At 54.0% G+C, this 27,942-nt stretch overlaps 1 protein-coding gene across 16 annotated transcripts in view, besides 5 other annotated features; it reads right to left on the bottom strand.

The window, feature by feature from the left end:
* GRIK4 (glutamate ionotropic receptor kainate type subunit 4) overlaps positions 1–24,795 on the bottom strand; it is a 477,159-nt gene extending 452,364 nt beyond the window's left edge. For all 16 annotated transcript variants that reach the window (NM_014619.5, NM_001440404.1, NM_001440403.1 and 13 more), the window contains exon 1: positions 24,656–24,795. The gene's annotated coding sequence lies outside the window, so the exon portion shown is untranslated. The remainder of the gene's footprint in view (positions 1–24,655) is intronic.
* Positions 4,295–4,831: an enhancer, noted in NCBI's record as "H3K4me1 hESC enhancer chr11:120402421-120402957 (GRCh37/hg19 assembly coordinates)". NCBI's record gives its function as "activates a minimal SCP1, AML or CMV promoter by ChIP-STARR-seq in naive H9 embryonic stem cells {active_cell/tissue: H9 hESC(naive)}" and the evidence as "EXISTENCE:reporter gene assay evidence [ECO:0000049][PMID:30033119]".
* Positions 19,082–19,683: an enhancer, noted in NCBI's record as "H3K27ac-H3K4me1 hESC enhancer chr11:120387569-120388170 (GRCh37/hg19 assembly coordinates)". NCBI's record gives its function as "activates a minimal SCP1, AML or CMV promoter by ChIP-STARR-seq in primed H9 embryonic stem cells {active_cell/tissue: H9 hESC(primed)}" and the evidence as "EXISTENCE:reporter gene assay evidence [ECO:0000049][PMID:30033119]".
* Positions 19,684–20,286: an enhancer, noted in NCBI's record as "H3K27ac-H3K4me1 hESC enhancer chr11:120386966-120387568 (GRCh37/hg19 assembly coordinates)". NCBI's record gives its function as "activates a minimal SCP1, AML or CMV promoter by ChIP-STARR-seq in primed H9 embryonic stem cells {active_cell/tissue: H9 hESC(primed)}" and the evidence as "EXISTENCE:reporter gene assay evidence [ECO:0000049][PMID:30033119]".
* Positions 24,725–24,924: a silencer, noted in NCBI's record as "silent region_3993". NCBI's record gives its function as "represses an Ori minimal core promoter by ATAC-STARR-seq in GM12878 lymphoblastoid cells {active_cell/tissue: GM12878}" and the evidence as "EXISTENCE:reporter gene assay evidence [ECO:0000049][PMID:35858748]".
* Positions 25,105–25,184: a silencer, noted in NCBI's record as "silent region_3992". NCBI's record gives its function as "represses an Ori minimal core promoter by ATAC-STARR-seq in GM12878 lymphoblastoid cells {active_cell/tissue: GM12878}" and the evidence as "EXISTENCE:reporter gene assay evidence [ECO:0000049][PMID:35858748]".

Genomic DNA, 27,942 nt, shown 5'->3' with positions numbered 1-27,942 from the left:
ACAGATAAATGTGACCTCTCTCCAGGCCCCCCCAATCTGTAATCAATGTTCCAGGTCCAATTGTTCAACCAGCTCCGCATCCACCTGTCTGCAGCCCAGGGCGATGTACAGCTTTTCACCTTTTCTGTACAGACACCATCAGGCATTGGCTTAAGGCTCGCTGAAATTAAGACACCCCCCAGCTAAGACACATAGACTCGGAAAGCTTTTGAAACAGAGAAAAAGAGGTGGTTTGGGCCCAACTTGTCCTTCAGGAACTGCTGCCAGCCCCGCGAGCTCCTCTTTTGTGTTCTCAGAGCTGCAGGACCATCTGCTTCATACACTCTTTCGAATTGTTGCAGGAAAATAGCCTAACACTTATTGCTTTAGAATACTTTTTAATCTACCTTTCTGTTCTTTGTGAAAACATCTGCCTGACTTGATTTTTGGCACCTCTCACCTTCTTAGTGCTACACACAATACTTCAAGGATGGCTTTATAATCTTCCACTGCTCCCCTAAGCCTGACATGAGAGTTCACCTGTGTCTACCTTCTCGTCTTTTTCCACCCCTGGCTTGAGCCCAGCATGAGATACATGCAGCGAGATGGCCAGGAGGAACCAGTGAAGCGTGTTGGGACTGTATTCATGCACGTGTATACCTACCCTGGAAAAGGTACAGTGATGCCTACTGACTGAAGGCAGGCACAGTGTCACTTTCATATCTTAAGGACTGCATGTTACATGGGAGCAAGGTAGGAATAGGTGCAGCAATGCAAATGTGCACAGATACACACATAAAAAATGCAACGTTCACTCAGTTGCTGCTATACTAATACTAATGTGCTAGCCCACTGCCCGTGCTCAGGTAGTAAGTGTTTCATGCATTTTAACTCATTTAATCCTCGCTACAGTCCTGTGAGGTGGGGGATGTAGAACCGGGATCCCGAGCTGTCCTGCTCCTTTGTCCTTTAGTGACCTTGCCCTACACACCCTGCCTAGCCAGCTCCTTCCCTCCTACATGCCCACTTCTAGGCTGTTCCACAAGTGTGGTGCCTGGACAGTGTCACCTCCCTGCCCTCAGCACTGCTCCAGGATCCTGGGTGGGGGTCCCGGCCTGCTCCCTACCCCCTCCTTTTACAGGCTTTTCCAAACTCCTTCTTCCCTCCTTCCCTCCCTCCCTCTTACCTCCCCCTTCACACTCCCCTCTTCCTTCCTTGAGACCACCAAGGCCCCCAAGCCCTCCCCAACCCTCCCTGCAAAGATCTGCACCCCCCTTCCCTCTTCCCTCTGGTCCCAGGAGGTTCTTCCCTGGATCCCCCACCTCCTCAGGACCCCCATCTGCCACCCACCAGGCTCTCTCCCGGGTGTGCTGGAGCCTGCTCAGACAGGCTCACAAGAGTGGGCCGTACACACCTCTTCCCAGCTCCGCATTTAGTGACATCACGTTGGCAACTTAAAATTGACCATGGTATTTACACCGTGGAAATCAGCAAACCCTACAAGTCAGGGCTTCCCCCAGGAGAGCCCGCTGTTGAATACCGGCCAGCTTACTGCAGGGAGTAAACTCTCCTAGGGCAACCAACCATCAGGTTTGCCCGGGATCATCCTGGGTTTAGCACTGAAGTCTCGTATCTCAGGAAGTTCCGCAGAGCTGGGCAAACCAGGATGGTTGGTCACCCTAACCTCTTCATCCCTGCTGAGTGTCCCCCATTGGGAAGTGCTCCCTCAAACCTCTGCCTCTGCTCCCAGGGGTTTTCCTGGTCTCTCCTCAGCTGGGCTGCAGAGGCCATCTGCCTGTCCCCATGTCCCCTCTGGACCTGTCCAATGCTCTTCTGCTATGGCAGTCACCTCCTTCCCACACCCAGGAAGAGCACCAATGACCTCCCAGTGGCCAAATCCACTAGACACTGTATGACTCTTACTGTACTTACTACAGCGTTTTCCACCATGGACTATCCCCCATTCTACCTGGGTTTCTGAGCAACCTCTCTCCTGGCTGTGCTACCCGTGGCTGTTTCTCCTGATCTCTTTTGTGGACTCAGGCCCCAGCGTGCACGGTTCTCAGCGCTCCGTCATCAGCTTCTCTTTGGTCGCGTTAAACATTCTTTCGAGGGGAGCTCATTAAAGCCCCTGTGCCCCCTACTTGCCCTAATTTCAAAATCCCCAGCCCCACCACTTGTCTCTATCCTGGGCTCTGGGTGTGTGCACTCAATTCCACATAGATATCCCTCAGTCACTTCAAAGCCAACCAGTCTAAAATGGAACTGAATCCGTCACCTTCTTCTGCAATCTGGTCCTCCCATCTCCAGTGTCTTGGTAATTGACTCCAAACTGCCCCGAATGAAGAATCTGAGCCTCACGTAAACACCTGCCTTCCACCCACCACCCACCACCCACATCCACCAGCCCCTAGGTGTCCTGCGATTCTACCTCCTTTGTGCTTCTGGGCCCACACTCCCCTCTGTACCCCGGTGCCTGGCTCTTTTGGCAGGATCACTGCCAGGCTCAGCAGGTGCCTTCGTGCCTCCAGCCTGTGTCAGGGCCACCATCCTCCACATTACAGCCAGAGTGATTATTTTTATTTTTGAAAATAAATCTGGTCAAGCTATTTCTGTTTAAAATTTTTCAGTGGCTTTCAGTTGCTTTCCGAATAAAGTTAAAATGTTTTTGTTTTTGTTTTTGTTTTGAGACACAGTCTTGCTCTGTCACCCAGGCTGGAGTGCAGTGGGGCAATCTTGGCTCATTGCAACCTCTGCCTCCTGGATTCAAGCAATTCTCTGCCTTAGCCTCCCAAGTAGCTGGGATTACAGGCACGCACTACCACACCCGGGTAAGTTTTGCATTTTTTGTAGAGACAGGGTTTCACCATGTTGGCCAGGCTGGTCTCGAACTCCTAGCCTCAAGTGATCCACTCACCTTGGCCTCCCAAAGTGCTGGGATTACAGGTGTGAGCCACCACACCCAGCCAAGTTAAAACTTTTGAACGTACACATAAGACCCTCCATAATCCAGCTCTGCAGATGCCCCAATGACCCAACCCTGGTGTAACATCCTTGGGCCAGACAGCAGCAGTGAGGCAGCAGGGGCAATGGGAGAGCCAGCACCCCTGAATCAGACTGCCTGTGCCCATATCTCTAGGCTCAGCTATTAAAAGGGGCGCTAGCAGTACCTGTATGCAGGGTTGTTATAAGGACTAAGCTAGATAATACAAGGAAAGCCCTCAGAACTCTGCCCAATGCTTAGTGAGTGTGCAGTATATTATCATTCTGTAGATATTATTAACCCTTACCTTATTCTCTGCCATCTCTCACTCTAGAAGTCCCCTCTGACCCAGCTGTGACATGTGCTTTTCCCTCTGCTAGGAGGCTCTTGTCCTTTCCTTTGCCAGACTAATTCCTCCTTGTTTATTGAAATGCAGTTCCAACTGCAGTGCAGGTTACTCCTCCTCCAGGAAGCCTTCCATGCTGCCACATCTGATTTTACCGTTTTCTTCCATGTCTCTGCGCCCCCCTACATTGGCCTCCACCTTGGCACATCACACCGCATTGCATCATCTGTTTACTTCTCTGTCTCCACCACTAAGTACTGAACTCAGGAATGTGTCCCCTTAGTGCTGAACACAGGGCCTGGTGAATAGACGGATGAATGAGTGAATGAAGCCAGCAGCCCTACCGGGCTCATCCCCTAAGTCTCCAGGCACTGCCCTTCCCACTCCCTTCCAAGGAGAAGCCCAAAGCATCTAAAACCCCAAAAGAAAGGGGACAAAGACAGGCCGACTGTCTTTGTCCCGAGTCTCCAGATACTTCAGAAAACTCTGGTTGAGGGATGAATCACAGGAATCCACTTGGGAGGGACTAGTAACTGCAAGAAGGCCAAGGCCAGTGCCAGAAAGCAGAAGATGCTAATTATGAAGCCAGCGAAATGAAACCAAGGTTTGCGGGGTAGGGGAAAGAGTCCACACTAGAGCAAGAAAAACAAGGCAAAGCGAGCAAACTATTTAAGCAGCCAGCCGGCTCAGAGGGAGGAGGACAGATTAAATCAAACCTCTGACAGGCAATCAATGGACATTCAATTAACAGTTACAATATTATTAATTTACACAAAACGTCTAAACAATACCCTCTCCCCCTCTGAGAGGACTTTGATTCAATGCCTCTAAGCTGTTGGGACATTCCCTGACAATACCACAGGGCCACCCGACTCCTGGGTCCACACCCAGGGCGGACCCCCGGGCACAAGGGCAGCCGGATCAAAGGAAGCTGGGGGCGGGGTAGGGCCCACAGGGCTGCAGAGAGCTTAGCATGGAGCTGGGGGATGGATGTTCAAAGCAGCGAGTCCAGGTCACTTTGGGGGCTAGGGAGGAGCAACCAAGGACTCAGGAGGTCAAATCGGGACCATGCAATCACCCTTGTGCCAGCAGCCCAGGGCCTGAGTGGCCACAGGTACCCGGCTCCAGCTGTGGCTGTCTTGCTCCGTGTTCAATCGTGCACCTGCCAGGTGCGCTCCTGAATGGAGACCTTCCACCTGCCCCACATCCAGAGGTGGAAGCAGGGGGAGGGTCTCCATTTGGGAGTAAAGGGGAGAAGAAGGGTTGCCATCTGCTGCTCCACAGGGACATCCAAAGGTCACTGGTATGACATCCTTGGGCCACAACCATGAGGTTGCAAGGTGCTAAGAGAAACAGGCAGGCTGGGCACGGTGGCTCACACCTGTAATCCCAGCACCTTAGGAGACCAAGGCGGGTGGATCATCTGAGGTCAGGAGTCCGAGACCAGCCTGGCCAACATGGTGAAAACCCGTCTCTACTAAAAATACAAAAATTAGCTGGGCATGGTGACATGCACCTGTAGTACCAGCTACTCGGGAGGCTGAGGCAAGAGAATTGCTTGAACCTGGGAGGCAGAGGTTCCAGTGAGCCGAGACTGCGCCACTGCACTCCAGCCTGAGCAACAGAGCAAGACTCAGTCTCAAAAAAAAAAAGAAAAAGAAAAAAGAAACAGGCAGAGTTCAGCTGTAACCATGACCTTGGGCAGACCCCTCACTGCACCAGTCTCAGTTTCCTGATCCAGTAATATGGGATGATCCTGGCACCCACCCCAAGGCTGGTGTAAGCACTGGAGAGCACATGTACAGAGCATTGGAAACTCCTGGTGTCTAAATGATTATTTGGGCAGCGCTATGGAGCAGGTGCCTGTGGCAGGGGCAGACGACATGAAAGGAGGATGTGGGGAAGGAAAATGTCATTTCTCCTTCCATAAACAAACATGCATGAACCAGGCACAACAAGCTCTGAGTTTCACTCTTGATCTTTCTGGCCTTGATGGATGAATTATGAAAGAGGTTGTAGGGTAGCATTTACACATAAGAATCGCAAATCCACCCACATTTTCTAAGCCCTCCAAAAGTCTAGTCTTAAGCAAAGCACTCTCTCAAGGAAAGCAAGAGAGCTGTCTCCAAATATCTAAAGGGCTGTCACACCCTTCTGCTTAGACAGCTCCATCCTTCCGCTCCTGAGCCTATGATGGGAACCAGGAAGGACTCATCACCCCCACTCTGCAGAGAGGAAACTAAGTCCAAAGAAGTAAAATGACTTGATCAAAGTCACACCGTAGCAGATCTCCTTTTTGTGAACCGGCATTTTCTCCAGCCGATGATGCTCCAGAGACATCAGTAGGACACAGGTGCCGTCCACTGTAGGGAAGCGGGGTCTAACAATCAGAGTTCTCCTCATCCCAAAATGCCATCCAGCTCTGAATGAATCCCCTCCACACCCCAGGGCCATCTCTGTCTTCCTACATCACGGAACCTGTAGCAGGCCCCTTGGTTTTTCAGAGACTTAGAACCTTCTTAGGCCTCTGAACCCCATTCTCAGCCCTGCGTGGCAGAACCCAGTCCGCCCTGTAACGCGGTTGTCGAAGACAGAGGCTTCCGTCTGGAACCCAGGTTTGGGACTTTGCAGGAAATGGCTTCCCAAATTAAGGATTTTAAGCACAGATGACTGAAATAGATATTTGAAAGCTATTCACCCAGCCAACAGCCACCTCCTCAGCCTGGAGAAGCTGCCTCTGTTGGCAAATGTGCTTTCTGACAAATTTTACTGTGCAGACTAACGACTCACCAAACTGGACCAGAGTGCAGAGCTGCCCCCAGGATAAGTCCCCCTACCCCCACCCACACCCCAGCAAGGACCCATCTTCTAGAGCCTGCAATAGCTTGGGCTCCTGTCACTCTTCTCCATGAAATATCCTTCCCCTGGAGCCTCTCCCCACAGGCCATCGACCGATTCATTTGCTCACCATTATTTTTTAAACTCAAATTTTATTAGCAGTGGAGCATGAGTAATAAATACTAATACACTGTTTGCACTTGAATTAGCCCTACATGTCCTGGGACCACAGGGCTATTTGTCAAAGGCAGACGTTTCTCCACACCCGCACCTTGTGGTTGGCACACAGGCATTTCCAAGGTCAGGGACTCTCAGGCATTAAGCAAGAACATGGGGCCTCATAGGACTCACACTTGGGGCACCCTTACTCCTAAGCAGGCCACTGAGCCACCAGGAAGGAAGGGCAAGTGGAGCTGTAATGCTAGAAAAAGGAGAACGGGATCCTAGCTCTACTGCTTACCAGCTGTGTGACTCGGGGCATGCCAGTTTAACCACTCTGAACTTCTGTCTCCTCATCTATAAAACAGGTCAACAGCAGCTGCCTCCCAGGGTTGCTGGAGAGATTAAATGAGATGCTGGATGTGAAAGCACCTTTGTTGGAGAGATTAAATGAGATGCTGGATGTGAAAGCACCTAAAAGCAAGTGTACTTGCACACAGCGGGGATGGTGGTTGAGGTGGGAAAGGCAGGTTGCGAGAGAGGCTACTCCCTATCAGGAGTCAAGGGATACATTGAAATCATCTCCACCTTGTTTCACAGAAGGATAAGTGACAGACAGCACTTTTCCCACTTCCCCCACCACTCCCGACAGGGAACTTACATGTGTGACTATCCAAGGACATCTAAGAGACACTATTAGGCTGCATCTCTGTGCAGATGTCAGGAACCCAGCGCTGTGCAAAACAGATGTGGTCACTGGTGCCCAGGCTGGGCTCTAGGCTCGTCCCTGTAGTAACTGCTAGGGGCTCAGACTAAGGTGGAGGAGGTCACAGCCAAGGGCAATCCCTCTAATGTCGATGGGCACAGCGGCTGGGCTTGCTCCTCTCTTTGGTGCTCGATCGCTTTGCTTCTTTCAACAAATATTTGGCAAGATCCTCCTGTAAGCCAGACACTGTGTTAAAGTGTGGCACAGAAGTGGATGTGGTGACTTGATGCCTGGCCTCCCACAGCTCAGTGCTACAATGTAAGTTGTAGGTTACAATGCAAGGTGGGAGTGCTCCAAAGGGAACGAGGGTTGGGGCTGCAAGAGCACATGAGGGTCGGGGTGGGGGGTTATGCAGGCTCAGGGAGGCGTCAGGAAAGGGCTTCCTGGAAGAGGAATGGATAAGGAGTAGTGAAGCAAGAGAAGGAGAGGAGGTGGAAGGAGGAGTTGCAGGCAGAGTGAACAGCATGTGCAAAGGTCCTGAGGCAGGGAGCCAAAGCTACCCTGGGAAACTAAAGTGCTGTAGATGGGCACATGCTCAATAGATGGTGATGTGGTTTGGCTGTGCCCCCACCCAAATCTCATCTTGAATTGCAACTCCCACAGTTCCCATGTGTCGTGGGAGGAAACTGGTGGGAGGTCATTGAATCATGGAGGCAGGTCTTTCCCGTGTTGTTCTCATGCTAGCATCTCATGAGAGATCTCATGGGTCTCACAAGATCTGATGGTTTTATGAGGGGCAGTTTCCCTGCACAAGCTCTCTCTTTGCCTGCTGCCATTCATGTAAGATGTGACTTGCTCCTCTTTGCCTTCCGCCATGATTGTGAGGCCTCCCCAGCCACGTGGAACTGTAACTTCATTAACCCCTTTTTCCTGTATAAGTTACCCAGTCTCTGATATGTCTTTATCAGCAGCATGAAAACAGACTAATACAGATGGGTTCCCTAAGACAGGCTCAGAGGAAAGAAGGGTCCCCCATAGTCCCTGCCCTCAGCCAGCCTCCAGTCAAACAGGGGTGACAGGACCAACATATTTCAGACAGACTTAATATAAAAAAATTATAGGGTCGGGCTTGGTGGCTCATGCCTGTAATCCCAGCACTTTGGGAGGCCAAGGCGGGCAGATCATGAGGTCAGGAGATCAAGACCATCCTGGCTAACACTGTGAAACCCCATCTCTATTAAGAATACAAAAAATTAGCCGGGCGTGGTGGCGGGCACCTGTAGTCCCAGCACTTTGGGAGGTTGAGGCAGGCAGACTGCTTGAGCTCAGCAGTTCAAGAACAGCCTAGGCAACATGGTGAAACCACGTCTGCACAAAAAATACAAAAATAAAAAATAAAAAATAGCTGAGCATTGTGGCCCATGCCTGTGGTCCCAGCTACTCAAAAGGCTGAGGTGGGAGGACCGGCTGAGCCCGGGAGATCGAGGCTGCAGTGAGCCCAAATCCCGTCACTGGGCAATAGAGTGAGACCCTGTCTCAAAAAAATAAAATAAAATAAAAGGACTTGTTTGTTGATGAGCTCACTCTATTCACAACGCATGTGTCCCTGCTGAGGGCCAGGATAAAGCAGCTGAAGGGGTTAACCAGAGCAGGCCTCCCAGAGGAGGTGAGGCTGGTTCCGCTGGTAAAGAAGCCTCTTCCTCCACCCGTGAGTGGGACCACCAGGCCCTCTTTTTCCCCACCTGATTGGAAACCTTGGACAACAATGAGGCTGTATCTGCTCTGCCAGCTGCATATAAATGCAAGCACAATGCCACCTCTCTCTCACCAGACAAGGCCACACGCCAGGGGTGGCTTAGTGTGAGCGAGGCTGTCTGGCTCAGCCACATCACAAAGGTAACAAAAGCACCTGAATGCCCGTCTTCCTCCCAGCCCCCAGCCCGCCCCTGGAGGATGCAGGTGCGAGTGTCTGGGGCGCAGTTAGGCCTCTGGGAGGAGATAAATCCCCAGCACGGGCTCCAGGAAGGCAGGAGGGAACTTGCAGCGGCTCCCTGCTCCCCTCCTCTGCTGGGATAAGCATTGCCATGCTCCCTCTCTCACCGGCAGGGGTCTGCCCTGAGGGGTTTTAACTGAGTGAAACACCATCTGCTCCGGGGTCCCCACCCAGCAGACCCTGCAGACAGATGCTGTCCAGCTCCCGCCCCTGCTTCCTCCCACTCTGGAAGCATCTCCACCCTGGGGCCGCAGGGAGCTGAGGCTGCTCTCCACATTCCATGAAAGCTGAGGCCTGGCAGGACCCCAGCAGGGGCAGAGCCACAAAGATGACGCAGCTCCAGAAGCCAAAGCCCCGGCAAGCCGAGGCGGGATCAGGGCAACCCCACCTGCCTTTGCATCCTCCAGGTTCCCCAGGACTGGGTGCTGGCTCTGGTCAGACCCTCTGCCACGGGCTGGCTGTGTGACTTTGGGCAACTTCTGCAACCTCACTGAGTTTCCCCACTTGTAAAATGTGAGTTGTTGAGGTTTAAATGAGAAAATGTTTCTTCTGCCTAAAGTGTTCAACCACTATTTCTATTAACATCATTCCAGGTTTCCTCTTGGACACTGTCAAGTGACCGCCCTTTAGCCATTTATAACCTGACTGTGATAAGCACTTTAAAAACGAACTTTTTTTTTCTTTTTTTTGAGATGGTGTTTCACTCTTGCTGCACAGGCTGGAGTGCAATGGTGCAATCTTGGCTCACTGCAACCTCTGGCTCACTGCAACCTCCGCCTTCCAGGTTCAAGTGATTCTCCTGCCTCAGCCTCCCAAATAGCTTGGATTACAGGCATGTGCCACCACACCTGGTTAATTTTGTATTTTTAGGGGAGATGGGGTTTCACCATGTTGGTCAGGCCGGTCTTGAACGCCTGACCTCAAGTGATCCACCAACCTCATCCTCCCAAAATGCTAGGATTACAGGCATGAGCCACTGTGCCCGGCCTAAAAACAAACTTTTTGAATTGATGTATACTGTTTACACAGAAAAGTGCACATGGCTGGGCACAGCGGCTCACACCTGTAATCCCAGGGCTTTGAGAGGCCGAGGTGGGAGGATCGCTTGAGCCCAGAAGTTCAAGCCGGGGCAACATAGAGAAACACTGTCTCTAGAAAGAAAAAATATAAAAAATTAGTGGGGCATGGTGGTACATGCCTGTAGACTCAGCTACTGGGGTGAGAGGGCGGGTGCCAGGGTGGGAGAATCACCCTGAGCCCGGGAGATGGAGATCATGCCACCGCACTCCAGCCTGGGCGACAGAGTGAGACCTGCCTCAAAGGAAAAAAAGAAAGAGAAGTGCACATAAGTGTGCAGCTCAAGGAATGTCCACAGAACTAGCTCTCAGATCACGAAATAGAGCATTATCAGTATTCTAGAGGCCCTTTCTCAGGCCCCCTGCCAAGGCTAACTGCTATCCCAGCTTCTATTACCATAGATTACTTCGCCTGTTTTTGAACTTTATATAAATAAAATCACACAGTACGTACTGAAAACACCTTCAGACTTAAGAAGCCCTTTCACAGGTGGTATCTTATTTGCTCTTCCCCAACCCTGTGAGATTAGGTTTTTCATTGTCCCCATTTTATTGCTGAGCAAACAGAGGCTTCAGATACATGAACAAACTTGTCCAACGCCGCACAGTGAGTAGAGAGAGGGACTCTAACTCCAGCTGTCCAAGCCCTCCCGTCACCCCCCACCACACCAGGCTACTTCCCACACGTCAAACCAGCCTCTCCCTGTGCCCCAGTTAAGGCCGCTCCTCCCCAGAGCCCTACTTCCTCCAGGAAGCTTCCTTGGATTGCTCAGAGGAGAACCATCAGCTTGTCCCACTCTGCCCCCATCCCCAGCCTAGACACGGGGACGTAGCACGCGGCTAACCTTGGTGTGGGTCTGATGAGTGTGTGTTGACTGCCTGCTATGGTTTCTGTAACACCCCTGCTGGTCTCTTCTCCATGTGCCTCTCAGAGTCACAACACCCAGAGGACAGGGCTGCTTCTACAGCTCTTTCCACGCCCTGCCCAGTATGAATGGGGCTGGCTGGCAGCTGGGGTTGGAATGGGCACTGCATTAGGTCAGGTGGGGAGCAGGGCACATGCTCCCCTGGTTTGATGGGAGGCTCCTGGTGAGTCCGTCTAATGAAAGGTATGATACCAAAGGCACTAGCGGCCAGGGGACCCCATTTCAAACCTCGATTCTGCAAGTCACATGATCTCAGGCAAGTTCCTTCCCTCTCTGAACCTCAATGCCCTCACTTGTGAAATGAGACGGCTAGACTCAATCTGACTTGACAAAGCCATGGTACCCTGTGGCCATGTCAGATATCACCCCTTCCCAGGGCCCCTTCCCAGCGCCCCTTCCCAGGGAGTCCAGTGCCCCTTCCCAGGGAGCCCACAGTTGGCCTCAGACTTCTTTGGACCCAGCACTGCAGGCATCATGGATCCACTGAGAAGGGTAAGAAGGGGAAGCCTGTCCAGCAGCCTTGACCAGGGAGGTCCAGAGTCACTGGGCATTCATGGTGCAGCCCCTGATGGGCTCCAGAAGCCAAGAAGACGGAAGGTGGACTAGGACCTCAGCTCACCCTGCAGACCGCAGGGACCTCTGTCATCCCCACACAAAGGCGACCTCTTCCTGGGGCTCTCTGCCACCACAGTACCCAATCCTGACCTGCCCAGTGCCCTGCCACGTAACTAGCTCCGCGTGATGATAAATGCCCCCAGGATGCAGGCAGCCCCTAGCTCACACTGGGTATGTCTGAAGGAGCACCCCAGGTCCAATCCATGTTCCCAGAGCCTCCTCCTGACTCATGGCAGCTGCAGTGCCCACAGCCTGATCCAGAAGTTAGCGCTGTCAGCCCAAACGCCACCTTTGCTCTTACCAGTCACCCCAGTACAGTCCCCCTTGACCCATTGATGCCAGGCTCATCTGGGTTCGAGGAGGGGGTAAAGTGCCTGGAGCCAAGGTCCAGGTAGGCCTGGTGTTACTCTTTGTACTGGTTCAGCTCCATCGCCGGCTACACTAACCTGAGAAACCAGTCCTGTCATCCACCAGGGGAAATGTGTTTTAAGATCACACAATTGACTTTTCAATCCCATACATCTGCGAGTCGAAGGCGGCCCATCCAAGCTTTCCAGAGTCAAGGCTCATTGCTAGTCTAGGGCTCCAGAGTCCAGGGCCTCTGCAGACAAGCGGCTCACCAAAGCAGCCGTTCACCCACTAAACGCATACTGAGCACCCAGTGCTGTTCTGGTTGTTGGGGAAAGAATGCAGAAACGGCCAGACGCGGTGGCTCACGCCGCTAATCCCAGCACTTTGGGAGGTCAAGGCTGGTGGATCATGAGGTCAGGAGATCGAGACCATCCTGGCTAACATGATGAAACCCTGTCTCTATTAAAATACAAAAAATTAGCCAGGCATGGTGGTGTGCGCCTGTAGTCCCAGCTACTCGGGAGGCTGAGGCAGGGGAATCACTTGAACCTGGGAGGCGGAGGTTGCAGTGAGCCGAGATCGTGCCACTGCACTCCAGCCTGGTGACAGAGCAAGGCTCCGTCTCAGGAAAAAAAAAAAAAAAAGAATGCAGAAGCAAACAGTCCCTGTGCAATGGAACCCGTGCCTTGTGGGGAGACAGATGATGATCTCTGATGACCTCCCCAAAGCATCCAAGGGTGGCCTGACCTTGCTCTACCAGCCCCACCCTGATCATCTCCCAGCTGGGCTGCTCAGGTTCTTCCCCTGCTGGGAGCTGGAAGTTCCTTAGAAAGGCACTGGCCACACGGAGAAGCAGTGGCTAAAGAGACGAAGGCAGACCCGGGCAACACCGAACCACAAAGCCCAGGTTCAGCTGTGTGACCCTGTGTCGGTGTCTCAGGTTCTCTGGACATCTGTGTTTTCCCTTGTCCAATGGGACTAATAAGACCTGCCGTGGAGGGCTGGTGTGAGGACCTGCAGTAACGCAGGATGGCAACTGGAGAAGCAGCGAGAGAAGTAGCAGCATTATTGGCCCAGGAATACAGGACAAAAGTCGGCTCCTCCTCCACCCCTAAAGCCCAGGGTCAAGCTCTTGACATACCCCCTCCCACTTCCCTCCCCAAAGGAGCTGAGGGCAAGAGAGAGCCCAGCAGCCGCCACCCCACAGCTCCGTGCAGGAGAAATGCACTTTCTCAGCTGACTTCCGCTACTCAGACAGCCCGATTGCTTTGTTTACTGCCAATTTGCACCCCACCTGGCAGATCTCATGTTCCGGCCTATTTACTCTGGACTCTGGCAGGACCGTTACGTTTCAAAGGAGAGTCGGCTGATGCTATTTTAGCACAAATAAACTGGTGAGCTTCCTCCATCTAGTTGCCTACTCTGTGCTCTTAGATTTGGGTCAGCTGAAATTTTGGCCCCCTGATGGGGTGTCTGCATCCCCACCCAGCCTCCTAGGAGCAGTGGAGAAGCAACAGTTCTCCTAGTCCTCAGGCTCCTGTCCCCAGGACCCCACCACCAATCTGGCATCTGACAGATTCAGCAGGTGTCTGTGCACACATTTTGTAAGGGCCCAGCCTTGAGATGGGGCCAGCTGTGCTGCTCCGTGGCTGTGCCTGGCACATAGGAGGCACTCTGGAAACATGCTAAAGAACGGATGTGTGACAACCCTCAGCGCAGCCCTGTGGCCAAGGATCTATCTCCCTCATAAGGCAGGTCCCAGCCTTGGACATTTCTCTAGGCCCACAGGCTGTTGTCTTCCTGGCCAGGGGATTTCAGTTTGGGGAAGGGTCTTGGAAACTGAGGTAGAAGGAGACTGAAAGTTGGCTTTGCTTCTTGTTCATTAGGTAGCTTCACATTCAGAAGGCTGGAATGGGGTTCCAAGGAGGGTGCAGAACAAAGACCCATGGGAGCCAGGTGCAGTGGCTCACACCTGTAATCCCAGCACTTTGGGAGGCCAAGGCGGGCGGATCACCTGAGGTCAGGGGTTCGAGACCAGCCTGGCCAACATGGTGAAACCCTGTCTCTATAAAAATACAAAAATTAGCCGGGTGTGGTGGTACACACCTGTAGACCCAGCTACTCAGGAGGCTGAGGCAGGAGAATCGCTCGAACCCGGAAGGTGGAGGTTGCAGTGAGCTGAGGTCGCGCCACGGCACTCCAGCCTGGGCAACCGAGCGAGACTCCATCTCAAAAAAGAAAGAAAGAAAAAAAAGACCCATGGGAAATCAATTTGGCTCAGTCTAAGGTAAAACCTCCTGGTATGTTTAGAAGTCACTTGCATTGACTGAGCACATTCCCTACGCCGGGCAAGGCACTGGGTGCTTTCATGTGCTCCCTCGTTTCACAGCTGCCCAACTCAGCGATGGCCTGCCTTAGGATCACTCCAGAGCATGGCCCAGGCTGCCTAGTTCATATCCCGGCTCTATCACTTGGCTCATGTGTCATCTTGGGCAAGCTACATAACCTCTGTGGTTATGTATTTCCTCATGTGTAAAGTGGGACAACAGTACCTACTTCATAGGGTTGGCTGGAGAATCAACTTAATACATACAAAGCATCTAGAACAGTGCCTGGAAGGTGGTAAGTGCTCAATGATGTCAGCTTTCAGAAGAAGGGGAAAATGGAGAAAGAGGAAGAAGAGCAGAAGGCGGCAGCAGCCGAGGCAGGATAACCACCCGCGGGAGATAATAGAAGCTCAGGTAGGACGTCAAATGCAATGATCTCGAGTTACTTCAAGAATAAGATTCTAGGATTCATTTAACCTCCCTGGACTTCATTCAGTTTTCCCAGCAATACAACAGGCGTTCTCATTACCTGACAAGTGCTGCTTTCTTCCGTGTGATATTCTCTACCTTGGGAATAGCAGGTGTTCCCAGGGACCACTGCCTCTACCACCGCACAAACTGGAAGGCACAGGGTGGCAGATGCAGCCCTGGGCAAGGGGCAGGAGTCCTGGGAACTGATCCAACTTTCCAATCAAATAACTATGTGGCTTTCGGCTAGTTACTGAAATTCTGAGAGTCTGGGACAATAATTTTAACTGCCCTCCTGTCTCTCAGGTTTGTGGCCCTGTGAGCTCTTTGGGGGAGAGGACACAAATCACCAAGAACATAATAAGCCGTTGGGCATGTGACTACCATCAGAAAGTGGCATTGTGGGCCGGGCGTGGTGGCGCACACCTGTAATCCCAGCACTTTTGGAGGCCAAGATGAGGGATCACTTGAGCTCAGGAGTTTGAGTCCAGTCTGGATAACACAGTGAGACTCCATCTCCACAAAAAATCAAAATATTCGCCAGGCATGGTGGTGCACGCTTGTAGTCCCAAGCTATTGGGAGGATCAGTTGAACCCAGGAGGTTCAAGCTACAGTGAGCTGTAATCATGCCACTGCACTCTCGCCTGGGTGAGAGTGAAACTCTGTCTCAAAAAAACGAAAAACAAAACAAAACAAAACAAAAAAAGAAAATGGCATTGCAACTTCAGCATAAGGGCAGAGTTGTGCTGACCTCCCACCTGGAAATAACTCTACAGGGTCTTCTGCATATCCCGTGCCCCGCCCAAACCCACTTTTGTCTTCTTTAATTCTGAAGATGCCTCTGCTGCCTCCAAAAAGAGAGATGTTCCAGTTTCCATCCCATCATCAGCCATGCTAGGGACCTTGTTCTGTTGTCATCTTAGGAACTGAACTAGGCTAGGGGAGATGCTGTCAGGAGCAATAACGACCATGAGTCTAACAATGCTACCATCAGATTTCTTCCAAAGAGACTCCCTATTCTGCTGCTGTTGCTGAGAGTCCAAGACCCCAGTCAGATTCCACTCCTTCTAATCCTCGGCTATTAACCTGGGGCAGCCAGGCCAGCCAGCCAGCCAGGCCCTTGGAGGAGGTGGTGAGTGGACACAACCCTGGTTGGTCCAGTGGGGGCAGGACTGCTTTTAACCTCCTAAAGTCCTGTCTCACCTGAGCACTAATCAGTGCTCAGACTCGGCAGCTCAGGAGAGGGTCTCCTCAATGCTTTATGTCGCTGCCTTCTTCCTGCCTCCACACCGGGCCCTTCCCTGGATGGCCTCCATGGTGGAAAAGAATGGCACGTGATTCAGGAGGTGGCTCTCTAATCACTTCCCCAATACTGCCAGTGACCCTCTCACTCAGGGATCGAAGAAATCAGGCCAAGGGAAGGAGAGTTCCAAAACGCATAGAGGCGCCACCACTCATTCTCCGCGCCTGCTGATGGCTGGACGGGCTGGGACTGGGGCTTGAGGGTGCCGGTTCTGGAAATGAGCATTGGCCTCCTTGCCTAAGAGATGAGGAACAGAAATATAGAAGCAGTAGTGAGGTAGGCTGGGCGCAGTGGCTCATGCCTGTAATCCCAGCACTTTGGGGGGCTGAGGCGGGTGGATCACCTGAGGCCGGGAGTTTGAGACCAGCCTGGCCAACATGGTGAAACCCTGTCTCTACTGAAAACACAAAAATTAGCCAGGTGTGGTGGTGGGCACCTAGAATCCCAGCTACTCAGGAGGCTGAGGCAGTAGAATCGCTTGAACCCAGGAGGCGGAGGTTGCAATGAGCCAAGATCGCGCCTCTGCACTCCAGCCTGGGCAACAGAGTAAGACCCCGTCTCAAAAAAAAACAACAACAACAAAAAAAAAAACAAAAAAAAAAAAAACCAGTAGTGAGGTAGCCAGAGGTAGAATCTAGGAATTAGGGAGGGATTAGTGCATATTTCACATACACTTGTGCACCCACAAGCATGCATGCATGCACACAAAGGATTTCCCACTAGAGCTTGAAATCACACTGCCTGGGTACATATTTCAACTCTGCTTCTTACCAGCTATGGGACTTTGGGCTAATGAATCATCTACTCTGAATCTCAGCTTCCTCATCTGTAAAATGGGTATAATAAACTTAAGGTTATTATCATAGTGCATTTGGGCTGCTGTAACAAAATACCATAAACTGGGTAGCTGGTAAACAATAGAAGTTTGTTTCTCACAGTTCTGGAGGCGGGGAAGCCCGAGATCAAGGTGCTGGCAGATTCAGTGTCGGGTGAGGGCTTTTGGGTTCATAGATGGGCCTCCTCACTGTGTGCTCACACGGTGGGAGCGGTGAGGGGGCTTTGCGGGTTCTCTTTTTAAGGGCATAATCCCATTCGTGAGGGCTCTGCTCCATGACTTAATCACCTCCCAAATGCCCCACCTCCTAATACTATCACTTGGAGGTTAAGATTTCAACATGAATTCTGGGGGAACACCAACATTCAGTTCATAGCAGTTATTAGGAAGATTAAGATAATATATGGAAAGTACTTTGCATTGTACTTGGCACATAATAAGCATTGAATACTTATTAGCTATTATTATTGTCATCATCATTGTTGAATTCACAGCTATGTGTCAGCCTAGTGTTAGAGACAAAAGCACAAGGCCCTATCCGTGCCCCCACAGAGCCCATGCTCTAGTGCCTTAAAGAATCAAAATCATCCGCCTGCTTAGTTCTAGACCGATTTTGTTTGGATGTTGCAACTGGACCAAACAATTTGTTGAAGCATCTCTTTTCCAGCACTTTCGCTCCTGCAGGCAGGGCCACAAGACCCAGCAAAAGACACAGGCTAAGCCAGGCACAGTGGCTCATGCCTATAATGTCAGCACTTTGGAGGCTGAGGCCGGCGGATCACCTGAGGTCACGAGTTTGAGACCAGCCTGGTCCATGGTGAAACCTGGTATCTACTAAAAATACAAAAAAATTAGCCGGGGGTGGTATTGGGCACCTGTAATTCCAGCTACTCAGGAGGCTGAGGCAGGAGAATCACTTGAACCTGGGAGGCGGAGGTTGCAGTAAGCCAAGGTCGCGCACATTGCACTCTGCCAACAGAGCCAGACTCCATCTCAAAATATTTAAAAAATTTTAAAAAGACACAGGCTGGGAAGCCTGGAGCCCTGGGCTTATGCTGGATCCAGCTCTGCCACTCCCGTTACACTGCTTGGACAAGTGACTTAAACACCCTGGGCTTTGGGCCCCTCGTCTCTCTGGGGCTTGGACTAAACCCACTATAGACTTTTCTGATTAAAAAAAATATATATAGCTTTGCTGCCTCCCAAATCCCCATCCTTTCACCAGCCTTGCTAGAGACACTATTCCGTAGAGTCTTAGGAACCGGACTGGGCTAGGAGAGACACTATGAGGATGCAACACAATAATAACTACTAATAACCACTGCTGCCACGGACTCGTGCTCAGCACAGCTGCCGAGAGTCATGGAGGCCAGGGTGGGCTTGCATAGCTTTGTGCCCAAAGTTGCACTGCTGGAACTGGAAAAGCTGGGATTTGTCCTATGTACCTGATCTGGAAGTGGCCAGGCCAACCATTGCACCACACAGCCTCAGGGGGAGCAATGGAGGTTGGGAGGGAGACACAGGAAATGCCCTTCACTCACTCCCAGAACACAACCTCCCTTCTCAGCAGCCTCCCCAGGCTGGAGAACAGGGAGAGCAGAAACCGGCCAATACCGGCTTCCCCTGCCTCCAGATGTGCCCTATCTTCCACGCCTTCTTAAACTTTTCTTTTTCATTAAGCGTGCCTTGCAGTCAGCCTCTCACTTACACAACTTAACCTCCTCTGGGCTATTGATTTCTCATTCTATTAAATCCTCCTCTTTAACTCTGGCCCTTAAACTCCAATTCTAAACCTGTGTCTACTCCCTAGTCACGCTCCCAGGCCACCACTACGACTCCTCTGTGCTAGGGGCCGGCCCCTTCCCACTCCCTCCTGGGGGCCTTCACAGGACTATCACACTCAACTGGGAGCTCCGTGAAGTAGAGTTTACTCTATGCCTTTGTTTATAGGGCGGAAATCGAGGCAGCAATCCTAGCCCGGCCTTCTATTTCCCAGCTGTCCCCTTCCCGAGATGCCCACTGTGACTCAGCACTCAGGCATCTGCGTCCTCTCTCCCAACACCCCGCAGCGTAGCACAGCTATCACCCTCACCACTTGGGTCTCCCTGCTCTCCAACTTTAGGCGGAAGTCAGGGGTGCACAGGCGGGGGCACCGTTTGCCTCAGGGGGCCTGCCCATGGCCTCCCTGGGGCAAACGATGCCAGCCTCACTTTGACAACACAAGCGGGCACCAAGAGGCTGGACACTGAGGACAGGAGAGGATCGCACCAAGGAGCCTGGGACACCCCATTCCCGGAAGCCTAAGGCCACACAGCCCCTCTGGCTGCTCTTCACCCTCCACAGCCTCTGAATTTATCTCTGTAACAAGTGTCTGTTAAACATGAGTTGAGGTCCCTTAAATGGGACAAATATTGACTTAACACCTGTTCTATGCAAGCACTAGGGATAGCTCAGTGAACAAAGCGGACAAGGCCCTGCCCATTTGGATGGCAGCTCCACGCTCGGTCCCCGGCGGTGACAGGCACAGACGGAGGAACTTCCAGGGCAGTGAATATCAGACACGAGGGTACCGTGGAGGGAGGGCGGCGAGGGCTGGCAGGAGGCTGGGGAGGTGAGACTGAGGCACGCGAGATGCCTTAAGCTGGCCCCCGGCAGCACGCGCCCCAGGCCTGTTCCTGCACAAGACTAGACAGTGGCTGCTGCCCAGGAACGCAGCAGCCGCCGCCCAGGGTGAGCCCCGATGGCTCCAGGCTCCTCCTCAGGCACAGCGCATCCAGGCACGCACTGTCAGCTTTCCCTCAGACCTGCTTCCCCCTCCGGCTTCCCTACTCCCCTCGCATCGCCCATCCCCCTGGTCTCCAGCACTGGAAATCTCAAAGTTATCTCTGACACTTCCGGCTCCTTCATCTGCTGCATCCAATCTGTCAGCGCGCTCTGCTGTTCTTGAAAATGTCATTCAAGCTTACCCCCCTTTCGCCTCACTGTCACCAGCGCCCAGGCCCAGCCCTCAACCCGCGCTTCTGCACAGCACTCCTCTGCCCACGAATCTTCACCGGCTCCCCCGAGCCTGCTGCACTGACCTGAGCCTTCTCTGTTTGGTGGCCAGGGCCCTCTTGGATTCCAGCAGTTCTACCCACCCCGTCTACCGTGACAATCCGCTGCTCCCTGACTCCAGCCTTCTGCTGCACACGGGACTCTTCTCCCACTTGCCTCGTCCTGTGCCCGAGCGCCCAGTCCTCAGATCATCCTCTCTCCCCTCATCCTGCCTGCACAGCCCCTTCTCAGCCTCCTCACTGTGAGTCTTCCTTCCCCCATTCCTGAGCACCCCTGCCAGCTCCTGCCAGGTCTGAATGCTGGTGGCAGGTGCAATCAACACACACGCCATGTTCCCAGAGACCGGGTGTCTTGGTGTGCTATCCACCCAAACTATCACCCTGTGGGAGAGAAGGGTCCTGCCCACCCCCCAAACAGGGGACTCCACAACCGCCCCATCCCTGCTGGGCTCTGTGTAAATGACTTGAGTGCTCAGTTGTTTAAAGAAAACCTGTGATGAATCAAAAAGTGTCTCCCTCTTGGTTTTTAAGGCAGAGGATGCCCAAGTGTAGGGGAAGAAGCTGGGGTCCTACCGCACTCACCAGTCTGGGATGTGGGACAGAGTGTGTGACCTCCTGGGACTCCCTTCCTCATCTGTGGAAAAGGAGATGCCCACAGCTAACTCGCCGGGTAGCTGGACTGACTGAGCGAAACAAACGGAGTACGCAGTCAATACAATGTTACATTGATTCCTTCCTTCCTTCCCATAATTTACCCAGCCTGCAACTGTGGCATAAGTTTTTTGTTCATACTGGATTTACTAAATGTAAGGCATACCCTATTTTATGTAACAGAACGTTATAATCAAGCAACAACTATATCTTATGTCCTTACTATGAAGAGGGCCGATTTACAGGATGTTGAAGAACAGCCTCGCTCTGCTGGGAGTCAGAGAATGTGAAAAGGTGTCAGGCAAAGGCCTTGCTCCTCCAGGAATCTGCCCTCTGGGTGGGGAGACAAACGGACAGACGATTACCAATACCAGGTAGGAGCAGGGGGCTCAGCCAGCCCATACAGAGGGAGAGCAGAAGGCGGCCACTCAGAGAATGTGCCCTCCATACCCATGCAGGTGCCCTTCACACTGGACGAGTCACACTCCCACTCACATTCCATGCTGCTAACCCTCTGAAGCAGGTGAGATTTATCCCCATTTTACAGGTGAGGCCAGTGAGGCTCAGAGTCCCCATTTTACAGGTGAGGGCAGTGAGGCTCAGAGAGGTGAGGCAACTTGTCCGAGGTCATGCAGGGAGTGATGTGAGGACAGGAACCCAGGTCTGCCTGATACTTGGTAGCTGGAACTGGTTCCTCTTCCAGCAGCACCTTGAAGGCTGGGCAATATATGGATGGGAGGAAAAGAGGAGGAAATGCAAAGGGCCAGGGTGAGGACACACAGTGCCAGGGCTGGGTGGCCAGGGGAGGGGGGACAAGATCATGCCAGACACCACGTTGTGACATAAAGTTGGGGTCAGCGTGCAGAGGGCCTTCACCTGCAAGGCATCTTGGAAGGCACTGCCACTGACGGCTGCTGAGACAGGGTCCCCTGTGAGAAGCGTTACCCTCTGTAAGAAGACAGGCACAGCGGCAGGATGGCTGGAAACTGAGGCTGGAGGCCCAACAAGGAAGCTTTCAGGACCGTAACTCAGGGTGAACAGCCAAAGGCCCAAGTAGGGACCACGGCAGTGGGAGAGCAAAGGTCGGAGTGGACACTCGAAGTGCCCAGAAGAACTGAGTGGGCTGAGGCCTAAGGCACCAGAGAGAGGGAAGGAGGGTGCCCCAGGCACCCCGGCTGCATGCCTGGGGGAACCCAGCCGTTCTTTCCACAAGGAGGAGGCAAGAGGCAGTGCCCACTTGGGGTAGGGGGTGGTTGGTTGGGTCTAGGGAGTGGCGGGACACCCAGGCAGCCAGTCTAAGGCTGAGGAGACTACAGAGCAAAGACTCCACCAGGCCTGGGGTGGGGGTGAAAACGGTGAGCCATCACTGGAGAGGGCGAAGGGGATGAACTGAGGAACAGGCAGGACCAAGGGTGGGCTTTCTGAGAACCAAACAGCTGAGACCTTAAAAAGCAACAGCAACGAGCCCAACAGCACTGGACTGAGCGTCCAGGGGCCTGGGACCCAGCTGTGGAGCCTTGGATGAGGCATCCAGCCTCTCTGAGCCTCAGTTTCTGTTGGGTCATGAATGCCTCCTTATAAGGCTGTCTGTAAGGAGCGATCAGATGCTTGCAGGGCTGTAGTAGAGATCAAATGAAGTAATTGTTCTGAGAGGCATCTGGAATGCTGCAGAACCCCATACACACATAAGGGATTAGTACTATGCAGAAGCACCAAGAGATGCATCCTTCCCACACACGCTTGGCGCTGCCCACCCTCGCCAGCCACACAAAGGCCAGCTTCCGCCTCGCTGCTTCTCTTGCCTTCTGAGCAGTCTCTCCCCCAACCCAGGGCCGGTCCCCCTGTCCTCCCTTCCATCTCTGGATGGCTGAGAACCACCTCAGAAGCAGCTGAGCTCCTCTCTCCTGGATGCCCTGACTCCCTGCAGCTGGGACTTTCTCCTAGAGTCTCTGCCTCTCTCCCGGTACTAAAGTTCCCTCTCCATCCTAAGGGAAAACCAAAGTGGAAATCAGACCACGAAGCCGACCCAGGCTCTCGGAAGAATTTTCATTGCTGGGGAAGACAGCAGCCACCGATCAAGATGCCCAGGTAGGGGGATGGGAAAAACACAGAAAACCAAGATCCCCTCTCAACCTCCCCTCCCGAGCATCCACCTCTTCCCCACCCGGAGGGACCAGTGCTGCCTCTGGGTTTCAGGTGGCAGGTCCAGAGGAGGACAGAGGGGTGGAGCTGGTGAGGCAGGCGGGAGGCTGGTGGGCAAGCCCGGGCCACAAGGAATGAACAAAATATGGAAAATTAAACAAACCCAGACACTGTAATGTGTGCATATTAGATTAACTCTCCGAAGGGTCGTGACCTTGAGGAACACATCTGGCCAGTGAGAAAAATAATAAACCTGATTAATGATGAAGCCTGAGCTGCAGCTTCAGCAAATAAAGCCAGCATGATGACGCCCAGTGGAATTCCAGGGGCTGCCATCCCTGGTGGGACCGGAACACAGTGGACCTCGACAAGCCCCTCGCCCCTGACCACGCGAGCACAGACAGTCAGGGAGTCAGGCAGGACCGGATTTGTCTCTCAGATGCCCACTACCAACCCAGGCGGCCTCTCTCCCCGGAGATACCACGCCCGCAGTTTCCCGGTGCTCCTAGAAGTGTCACTACCAACCAGGTGACCCATAGGGAGTGAAAGTGAAGGTAGTTCTTTGTTCCTGGCAGGGCTCAGTCCTCCTGACCAGCCCTCAGACCTCTTGGCCTGGTCTTGACAGCTGCCCACTGCCTGGCAAAAGGGCCCAGCTGTGCTCAGAGCTCCCCTCCTCTTCCCAGACAACCCAGACCCTTGGGAGACATGCCCAGGAGAGCCACTGGAGGGAGGCAGGGAGGTGGCACCGCGTGGCATCACCAGACAACAGCACCAAGAGGAAGATGGCAGCATCAAGTACAGATGCCAAGAGCCACGCAGCCCAAGGTCCAGCCCGGGAGTGGCTCGGCCCGCATTGCCCCACCACTGCCAGGCAGACGGGCCAGAGGCGCCCGGGGCCCAGCCCCCTCGGCCGCCTCCTCCACCACCCCAAGGCCCTCAGCCAACTCTCCCCAGGCTCCAACTCCTCCCCTCACTTTGCTCAGCTCAAGGGAGCCAGGGAAAGAGACACAGGTGCTCTCAGTGCCTTGAACCCCCTGTCCCAGCTGTCGCCTGCACGCCCTCCACCCCAGCCAGGTCGGAGCGCACAGCTCTGCCAGTCCTCACTGAAGAGAATCTAAATCAGCTCCCCTCCCCCTCCGCCCCAGCCCCCTCCCCCATCACGCGCCCATTGCAGGTCTCTAGAGTTTCTCCCTCACTTCCCACTCGGATGAACTAGGGTGGGATGGGTGGGAGCCCCATTCTCCCCGGGAAAGAGGATCATTTCTGATAGGACGCTGGTTCCCCCAAGCAAGGCGGTGTGCAGGGTGGGGGGGTGTGGTGGTGGCCCGAGTCCAGTGCAGGGGCAGGGGGCAGTCGAGGCAGATGGCAGTGAGGAAAGGGGGAGGGGGCTTGGTGGGATGCCAGGCTGAGCCGGGATGGGGGGCTGCAGCCGGGGAACAGAGGCGCTGGGAGAAGCGGAGGGTGACGAGGTGTAGGGGAGACGCGCCAGGCTGGGAAGGGGCTGTCATCCCTGCAGGGGACAGAGGCAGGGCTGGGAGTTGCACGGGGAGGGGGAGGACCAGAGCGGGAGGACCGCGAGCCCGGGGAAGGGATGCGGAGGGAGGGAGACGGACCGGGGTGAAGACTGGAGGAACTACGGGAGCAGAGCGGTGGGGGGTTCGGCGGCGAATCTGGAGACGCAGGGACCGAAGTGCCAGGGACCGGGCTGGCGGGAGGCGGGAGCGGGGAGGAGGGCGCGGGGGCGGGGGCCGGGGCAGGGGTGCGGGGCCGCGGCCCCCGAGGGCAGGAGCGGCGGAGACGTCAGAAGTCGGGGTGCGGGAAGGGCCAGCGCGGAGGGGACTCGGGGGCGCGGGGGCAGCGCAGGGAGCGGGCCGGGGGCGCCGCGGGGGGCCGCTGCCCTTACCTGGTCGGCTCCGCACTCCGGGGGCTGAGCCGGGGGCCGGGCGCTGCCGGGCCGGCCGCGGGGCTGCTGTTGGCCGTTTTTCCTCTTCCGCAGCAGCCGTGGCGGCTCCAGCCCGATCCGCCCGCAGCTGAAGGCAGTCTGTGTCCGGCTGCGAGCGAGCCCGGCGCGGGGAGCGCGGGAGGAGCGCAGCGAGGCGCGGGGCGCCGCCCGGCGGGCAGCTGGGGAACTGCTGCGGCCCCGCGCACGGCCGGCCGGGGGGGCGCCCCTTCGGGGCCGGGCCGGAGCCCCGCGGGCAGCTGCACGCGCCCCCCAGCGCCCCTCGGAGCGTCGCCCGGGAGCCCAGGCGCGGGGGCGGCGGGGGCGGCGGGAACGGCGGGGGCTGCTGCGGGCAGGGCGGGCGCGGGTCCGCGCGGCCGGGGGCAAACTTGCGGCTGCCCGGGGGCCCGGGGCCGAGCGAGAGGCGCCCGGCTGGGGAGCGGCGCCCGGCAGAGGCTAGGGGCGCGCGGCCAAGCGGGCTCTGCGAGGTACGGACCTCAGGTGGGGAACCCGGCGCAGCCCGCACACTCCACCGCCCTGCGCAAAGGGGCAGCCCGCCCCGGCCCCGAGGAGTTATTAGCCCGGCGGCTTCAGCGAGCAAGGGGCGCCCCCTGGTGGCATTCGGGAAACAGCGCGGGGGACGAGCGTGCCCCGTTAGAAGAGACTGCGGCCTCAGTGGTGCGGAAGATGGAGAGGTGGAGGTTTCATGGGACGAGACAAGAGCACCTTGTTCAGGAGACTGAAGAGCAACAGCTTGCATGGAGTCATTCCAGAGCACTGTTGTATACATACCAACATCTTGGGAGGATCTCATGTTACGCATGAAGATCCTGAGGCTAGGAGAGGTGAAGGGACCAGGCCAAGAACACACGGGGAGCAAGTGGCAGGACCCAGGAGGCAACCCCGCTTTCTGACGCGCGGTTCATTTCAGTACACCGTGTGGTTCATCCTAATACAACAGAGTTGCCCTTAGGAGGAGGCTGGGTGAAGAGGGAGTCCTGGGGGAATAGGAGGGAGGGCAAGGGACACGTGACCCCCTCAAACCTATTAGCTCCCTCTTATCCAACCCGCAGAGTCTCTGTCTTGGGCAGACCACCAAACTGATCACACCGGCCCTCTCACCTTCAATGGCCTGTATCCCCACACCCAACCACCAGCACTCCCACAATCTCATTAAGCTCTCTGTGAAGGGTTTGTTCACAGACGTCCTTGGTCAGGTCTCACGCATGAGGCATACTATCGGGACTATAGACTGTTCTGGACGTTGCATTCCCCGGGGAGGGCTGGCTGGCTAGCCTGGGCGCGTACTGGGCCTCCTGCTTCAGGAGTCGTGCCTATCCCTCCCCCAGCTCCACACACTGGCTGGATGAATGCCATATGCGAACAGGGCTCCATTCCTCCAGCCAGACATTATTTAGCACCTACTGTTTGCCAAGACTATACCGCTTACACAAGTGTGATTCCCAATAATCAACTTTGCAAGGTAGGTGTTGAGGTGACACTAGTCCCATTTTACAGAGGATGTTAAACCTGTTAAGGTTTAAGAGCACCTGTAAGCCAGTGACACAAAACTAATTTCTAATTCCAACTCTATTCCCCCACTCTGGAACCCCCTCTCTTGTGCAAAATGGACGGAACAGCAGCATAAGCCTAGCAGAAAGTGTACGGGGCTGGGAGGAGGGAGAGGCATCCCTGTGATCCCAGCAAGCGATTTCACTTCCCTGGACTTCAGTTCCCATAACTCTAAAAGTGAGGGAAGCAGACTAGATGATCTCTCAAGCCGCGCAAACTCTGAAATGCCAAGCATGGATCCCTGGCCCCTTTCACGGGAAGAATGCAAGATCAGCGAGACCAGAGAGGCTTATTAAGTGTTTGGAAAGAAAAATACTATATAAGTGAAATGCTTCATCATATTCTTTTGCCTGGTGATCTCATCCTATTAACCAGGGAAGCGGGGAGGAGCTTTTGGCAGGTCAGAGAGATTGCTGATGGCTCTGGAGATAGTCTTGGCTGTGGCCTCCTGAGGGCCCTGGTTTCTCCCCTTCTTGCAAGAATGGTTCTGACTTTCTTTTCCTTTCTTAAGGCCTCTGCCCCTAGAAGCAGGGAGTCCCTACCAGTCACAGGGTGGACAACAATGTCAGCGAAGTCTGCCGGTACAGAAGTCTGCTGTTAGCCTCAGCCTGGTTGCCCCCACCCACTCTCCTGTCTCCCCTTGCTGCAAGATGTTGAGTTCTTTGGGATACTTACTACTTGCTCTCCACCTTTTTTACTACTGAAAAAATTCAATTCCAGGCAAGCTGACTTCTCAAGCTCAGCTCCAGGGGTGGGAAGGTCAGTCCAGATCTTTTTTGGAAGCCACAGGGGGAGAATGTCAGAGGGCCACGAGGCTGGCCCCGCTGATCTACTCTGAGGCTGCTGCCTTGAATGAAAAAACAGAAGGGTTGGGAAATGGGGCTCCCACCTCTAGAACCTCTCATCTGAAACATCCCTCACAGCCAGCTGCTATGCTGTGCAGGACGGATAGGATTCATTGTGCTTGGGCGCCATGGTGGTCGGAGCGCACAGGAAGGAGTTTGTTCTCTTGGATTTATCTTTAATTTCTTCCATCTATCTGCCTCTGGTATATCCACTAAGAAGAATATTTGATCTTAAATGTACCTGCCATGTCTTTTCCGAAGGTCCCTTTGAAGGTTCATCACACATTCATAATGATCCCTCTGCATAAATGGGGCCAGCTGAGGCACACGGTGAGCAGGTGACTTGTTGTCACCTTGCTGAGTGGCACATATCATATCATGTCACCATGTCTTAGAAACTATTGCAGCGGCCCTCTAGCTCATCTCCCTGCCTTTAAATTGGCTCCCTCCAATATGTCTACAAATGGCTGCCAGAGTGATGTCTCTAAAACAAGCTTCACCACTTTACACCCTTGCTGAAAACCCCTTCATGACCTCATATTGAGTCCAAAACTTTTTTTTTTTTAAGACGGAGTCACTCCTCTGTCACCAGGCTGGAGTGGAGTACAGTGGCGGAATCTCGGCTCACTGCAACCTCTGCCTCCCGGGTTCAAGCGATTCTCCTGCCTCAGCCTCCTGAGTATCTGGGACTACAGGCACCCGCCACCACGCCCGGCTAACCTTTGTATTTTTAGTAGAGATGGGGTTTCACCATGTTGGCCAGGCTGGTCTCCAACTCTTGACCTCGTGATCTGCCCGCCTCGGCCTCCCAAAGTGCTGGGATTACAGGCGTGC

The sequence above is a fragment of the Homo sapiens genome, chromosome 11, assembly GCF_000001405.40.
Source record: "Homo sapiens chromosome 11, GRCh38.p14 Primary Assembly".
Taxonomy (NCBI): Eukaryota; Metazoa; Chordata; class Mammalia; order Primates; family Hominidae; genus Homo; species Homo sapiens.
The sequence above is the reverse complement of the archived record's forward strand: the minus strand, read 5'-3'. Positions and strand labels throughout refer to the sequence as shown.